Here is a 6,097-nt window from a genome sequence, read left to right on the forward strand (position 1 = left end):
AGATGGCATCTTCTTACTGTGTCTTCCTGTGGTGGAAGGGATGAGGCTCCCTGGAGAAATGGTTGATTGCAGGCCTGGGGTAGGATACAGACCTGGCACCTTGAACATCTTGTTATAGCAGAGAGAAAAGAAGCCTTCAGAGCTGCGTCACATCAAAAGGATTCAAGAGTCAATTCTGTAAAATCCGCTAGTTCAAAACAATAAAGAAAGAAACCCCACTGTTCCTAGTTTTTTGAAAACCAGTAAATAAAAGGAAGAATCAAGCCCTAACCTCACTTTCCTACACAAATGATATCTTGAAGTAGTCAAGTGGTCAAGGAGGAAAAGTGTCTCCTAAGAGAAGAATTCCAGCCCTGCGTGGGGAAGGAACAGTGGAATTAAAGCTCACACCTTTGCAAACTCCACTGGCAACGGTGGGTCTGGACACTGACCGTCAACAGTGGTCACGTGGCCAAGGGCCTGCCGGACACTGAGTGCACCCTGATGAAGAGCACAGGACTGCCGTGGGCCATGCTGCTCACCAAAAAAGCCCAGCAGGCCCACGATCTGACTGTAACCTCACAGGGAATTCAGGGCAGAAGAAGGCATCTGAAATCAGCATCACAGAACACAACCAGCAAAATCCTAAATGTAGAGAAATCAGCAGGCCCAGCGACACGGCCTCTTCAACATGTTCCAGGGAAAAAGGAAGGAAGAGAGCCATTTCCACAGGACTCTGAGACACACCCAAGACCCACCTGCCAAGGCAGCCCAAGGCCAGGTTTGGGCCCTGACCGAACAAAGCAGAACATGAGATGGGAGATGGCTGGGGAAATGTGGACACTGACCAGATATTTGTTGATATGAAGAAATTGTGGGCAACTTTTAGATGTGGGAGTGATATTGTGGTTACTTTTAAAAAGGAGTTTTTGTCTTTTGGAGATACAAACTGGAATGCCTCATCCATGAAATGCTGAGATTTGGTGCTTCCCTGATGTTCCAACAAAAGGAGCTCTGAAATGAGAGCGTCCTAAGGCCCTGCCAGAGGGAGACGGGTATAGCGGATGATGGTCTAATGCTTTTTCTAAATATGTTTGAAGTTTTTTATAATAAAAGGCTCTTTTTATACAAATCCCCGGGAGAGGCTCAAACCGGCCCAGCTGGGATCCGGGGCCCTCTTGGCCCACCCTCTGTGGCCAGGGAGAACACAGGTGAGCCCGGCCCGCCCGCAGACAGGCTGGCCCCAGAGCCGGGCCAGGCTGGGCCTGAAGTCAGCACCACGGACAGCTCTGGCCGGGCAGCGAGGAGGAGCCCCTTTCGCGTGGAGGCCGCGGCTCCCAGGCCAGCTCCAGCCTTCCCAAACCAGAGTTTTCTCAAGCTCGGGATTCTAAAAGCATTTATGGGGAGACACAGTCCCCTATTTGAATAACATGGTCAGAAGGGCTTTTCCCAGAGAGCGGTTGAGGCGGGGCACGGCTCAGAACAGCAACATGGTGGCCACCGTGGCAAGACCCAGTGGGCTCTGAGCTGTGGCTGGGGCCAGGGCTTTGCCTCGACTGTCCTGAGGGAGGAATTCAGAAAGCTCACTTCCTAACTGAGCTCGTTTCTAATCCTCATGGATACCAAGAGCTGCTTCCACTAAAGCCCCCCTCTTCCTCCACGGGTCACCTGTCACCTCTTTAGTTTCCTCCTCCCAGAGGCCTCTGACACAAAGACAGGGCTTCCAAAACCAGGACTGAGGCAGCTGCCAGCTCCAGGCTGGGCTCTGGGTCTAGTCTACAGCAGGAGGCTCAGGATGTCTGAGTTAAGGGCCGGAACCTCGAGGCAATATTGATTATGCATCTTTATCACACAAAATCAAATTCCCTCCGCAGAGAGCTTGAATTGCTGGGAAGAGCAGCAGAGTCAACACAACAATCACACACCCCTGTCCTCGGCGCAGAATTGGAGATTGTATATATTTATTTGGAAAAGGCCTGGGCTACTTGTGGCATCCTGCCAAGACAATTTGAAAGGTATCAACAGTTTAAATGACATTTTCACCTTCAGCAAATACATCTCTGCCTGCTCGGAATGCGACGCTATCCTGCCCCGGCAATCTATGATACAGTCGCGTCAGAAATAGGTGTCAGCTCTCATTACATTCCCGAGGATAAATCCCACTTATCAGGGCCTGCAGAGTCCCAGGCCTCCTGACATCCCATTTCAGACAGCAGCCTCCCACCCCCGCCCCTCCTCTCCCTAAGAGATGCCGTCGGAGTTTTCAATCGCTGAACTTCTGCTGGATGGGAGGAGACGGGCAGGCATCGCTGAGCTCCTGCTGGATGGGAGAAGACGGGCAGGCATCGCTGAGCTCCTGCTGGATGGGAGAAGATGGAGAGGCAGCCTGAGATTTTCGGGGCATGGTGGACAGGACGCCCTGTGTTATCAAAGACACCTTGGGTGATCAAGCCCCCGGGCCTGTCTGCTCCCTTGCTGGAAAGTTTTCTATTGTCAAAAAGAAAGACTCTGTTGCTCAGAGGCATGGGTCTTCGGTCATAGTCTCAGCTACCCAGAAGGGCGTCCTCCCTAATCCCAGGGGCAATGAACTAAGAAGCACAGGGAGCTGTGGAGTCACGGAGCCCCCAGGGAGCAAGAGGAGCAGGAGAGCGTGGCCGGCGGAATCCTGAGAGTCAGACTTTGCAAACAGAGGAAAGTCTGCAGGGGAAGAAGAGGGTGTGTGTTTGCAAAGGTCTCAGAGAAGATCGATCAAATTTTAAATCTCTATCCAATTAATAACAGAAAAAGAGAGAGGAAACAAATAACCAACACTGTGGGAGGCTGAGGTGGGAGGATCGCTTGAGCCCAGGAGTTCAAGACCAGCCTAGGCAACATACTGAAATCCTGTCTTTAAAAAAGTAAATAAAAATAAATTCATAAAAATTTTAAAGACATTTTTAAGCATTGGAAAGACAATCCACCGCCCGGAAGAAAATATTTGTGAATCACAAATCTGATAAAAGAATAGTAAGAAAAAATAAATGCACAAAAGATTTGAATTCATATGTTGCCGATATACAAATGGCCAATAACCACATGGAAAGATACTCAACATTGTGAGTCATCAGAGAAATACAAACTACGAAGTATCTCTAGACCACACCTTTTCGAATGCCCAGAACTCCGACACGGGCCATATCAAGGGCTGGTGGGAATCGGGGACACCGAGAGGCAGATACCCTGCTTGCCGCTCCCGCATTTGAAGGCTGGTGGGAATCGGGGATACCGAGAGGCAGATACCCTGCTTGCCGCTCTAGCACTTTGGAGAGGAGTTTGGTGGTTTCTGCGGAAGTGAGGGGGATGCGCCTACAGGACTGAGCCATCCCGTGGCCAGCGATCTGCCGAGAGGGGTGAACGCCATGTGTCTGTGTGAAAACACGCACATGTTCACAGCGGCTCCCCTTGCAATAGCCAAAACCTGAAAACAGCCCAATGTTCCCAATGGGAAAATCATAAACAAGTTTTACTATAGCCAGGCGGTGGAACAGTACTCAGACATAGAAATAAAAGACTTAGGACTGATACACAAGATGCCATAGATGAATTTCAAAATGATTAGGCTGAGTGAAAGAAGCCGGACGGAAAAGCTAAAACCCTGCAAGGCACACGACCCCATTGGCATAAAGCCCTAAAGAAGCCCCTACACGGCCGGGCGCGTGGCTCACACCTGTCATCGCAGCATTCTGGGAGGCCGAGGCAGGCGGATCACAAGGTCAGGAGTTCGAGACCAGCCTGGCCAACATACTGAAGCCCCATCTCTACTAAAAATACAAAAAATTAGCTGGGCGTGGTGGCGGGCGCCTGTGATCCCAGCTACTTGGGAGGCTGAGGCTGGAGAATCACTTGAACCCGGGAGGCGGAAGTTGCAGTGAGCTGAAATCACGCCACTGCACTCCAGCCTGGGAGACAGTGCAAGACTCTGTCTCAAAAAAAAAAAAAAAAGGCCCCACCCAGCACTTAGGGCAGTGGTTGCCTGGGGAGGGGTGTGGGGAGGCGGGTGGGCTAGGAAGGGAGTCTGCAGAGGGGCACAGAGAATCTTCAGGGGGCGGTCTGTTCATTCTCCCGATGGTGGACATGGTTTCACGTCCAGCCTTACCAAAGTGCGCACTGCTCAGTCCTGAGCAGCTCCTGCATGTCGGCTACACATCGATAAAGCCAGACTCGACTCCCCACTGGGCACAGGGCATCAGCAGCGTCCAGGATGCTTTGGGGACCCATGAAAATGTTTTCGTTTCTTTTAAAATGTGGGGGAGTGTGACCTTGTAGATTCAAAGCAAGTATTTTAGTTTTTTCTCACACTGGAAAACAAAACGAAAATTTTAGCACCCATGAAAACCTATTGAATTCTGCCTATAATGGAAAAAAAAACAAGTCAAAAGATTTAGCTATGTCCAAAGTAACTTTTACTATTGACATTATTCTGACGCAAGGAGCCCACAGTGGCCAAAGCACCATGGGTGGTGAGTCACACTGCAGCCCTAGGAGAGGCTGTTCTGTGTTCTGTGTTTTCAGGATTCTAGCTCAGAATGTGTGGTTTCATGAGCAGGGTCAGCCCCACAGGGGAGGCCAGTGCACCCCCGCACTGGCGGTGAAGGGTGGCCTGTGTCATTGGGGTCCTCAGGCTCCTGCCAGCACCCACAGCCCAGCCTCACCTGAAGGTGGTCCCAGACTACTTGCAGCCCTCATCCCCAAGTCTTGGAGAGGAGAGGCCAGCACATCTCAGAGCCGGTTTGGGAGAAAGGCGCTTCGAATCCGACGTTTTATTTTCCCAGGTGTTTGAGTAGTCGTCAGTTTCTGCTTGCTTGCTTTTGTTTTGGTTTTGTTATTTGTTTTTTAGAGACAGGGTCTCGCTCTGTTGCCCAGGCTGCAGTGCAGTGTCTCAGTCATGGCTTCCCGCAGCCTCCACCTCCTGGGCTTAATCGATCCTCCCATCTCAGCCTTGTGAGTAGCTGGGACCACAGTCACACACCACCATGCCTGGCCATCAGCTTTCTGATTTTATCAGAGAATTGACCTGTAAAGGGAAGGAAGCGGCACCTGTGGTTTAGGAAAAGACACCACCACATAGGTTGCCAGATGCCATCCGCACCATCTGCCCTGAGGGCCCCCAGCAGAGACTGGATCCCACTGGGACCCGGTTAAACGTCCGCATGAAATACATCAGGCTCTGTCAGGCCCTGGTCCTCTCTGCACTCACAGAGATGGGCCTGAATCCATTGACATTCACGTCTCCTTTACTGAGTCTCCTGGAACAGCCCACCTTCCTCCTCCCAGAAGCCTCTGATTTCCTCCCTCGCTGCTGCTGGTGCTGCAAACCTGGTGCATGCCTGAGTCCCCGTCCTCGGCGCACCTGCTGCTCTGGAAAGGCTCTCTGTGAATGGTAGACACTCTGGGCTCCCTCGCTGGGCTCCCAGGACCTTTGGGGAGGAAGACGTGAGTCTGCAGCAGCATCTCAGGACAGGAGAGGGGAGGGGAGCGCTCCAGGGGTGGGGCCACGCTGCTTTGTGATGCTTCCCATTGCCAAGCCCTGCCCCCCGGCTCTTTCTCCCCAGCGCCAGACCAGCCCCAGCACAGAACCCTTGTTCTGGGCAGGTTCAGAGGAGCATCCGGCCCAGGGAAGAGGAAGCCCAGGCAGGTGGGGCCCAGCAGCCCCAAGTGGCCAGATCTAGGACGATGGCAGGGGCCTAGGACAGAAGAACACGAAGACCCAGGGTCAGGAAGGGAGGGCCAGCGATGCCACCTGAGCGGGCATGCGACCAGACCAGACACAGGAACGAGGGCTCTGGGCAGGTGCCAGAGTGGGCAGGAGCCACACACACTTAAATCCACCCACTTCACACAGAGACACTTATGCACATGCATGTATGACACATGCCACACACACACCACACAGGCATGCATGCAATATGACACGTCTACACACACACACACGCCAGGGCACACATGCACACAACTTAGGCACACATCACCCACGAGGACATGCGGTATACGTGTTCACACCACACAAGACATACAGTCATCCCTCCGTGTCCGTGGGTTCCAGAACCCCCCACAGACACTAACATCCGCAGGTGCTCAC

At 52.3% G+C, this 6,097-nt stretch overlaps 2 annotated features.

Annotated features, from left to right (window-relative positions):
- Window positions 4,163-4,884: an enhancer, noted in NCBI's record as "H3K4me1 hESC enhancer chr22:50108921-50109642 (GRCh37/hg19 assembly coordinates)". NCBI's record gives its function as "activates a minimal SCP1, AML or CMV promoter by ChIP-STARR-seq in naive H9 embryonic stem cells {active_cell/tissue: H9 hESC(naive)}" and the evidence as "EXISTENCE:reporter gene assay evidence [ECO:0000049][PMID:30033119]".
- Window positions 4,885-5,605: an enhancer, noted in NCBI's record as "H3K4me1 hESC enhancer chr22:50109643-50110363 (GRCh37/hg19 assembly coordinates)". NCBI's record gives its function as "activates a minimal SCP1, AML or CMV promoter by ChIP-STARR-seq in naive H9 embryonic stem cells {active_cell/tissue: H9 hESC(naive)}" and the evidence as "EXISTENCE:reporter gene assay evidence [ECO:0000049][PMID:30033119]".

This window comes from Homo sapiens, chromosome 22 (genome assembly GCF_000001405.40).
Source record: "Homo sapiens chromosome 22, GRCh38.p14 Primary Assembly".
Taxonomy (NCBI): domain Eukaryota; kingdom Metazoa; phylum Chordata; class Mammalia; order Primates; family Hominidae; genus Homo; species Homo sapiens.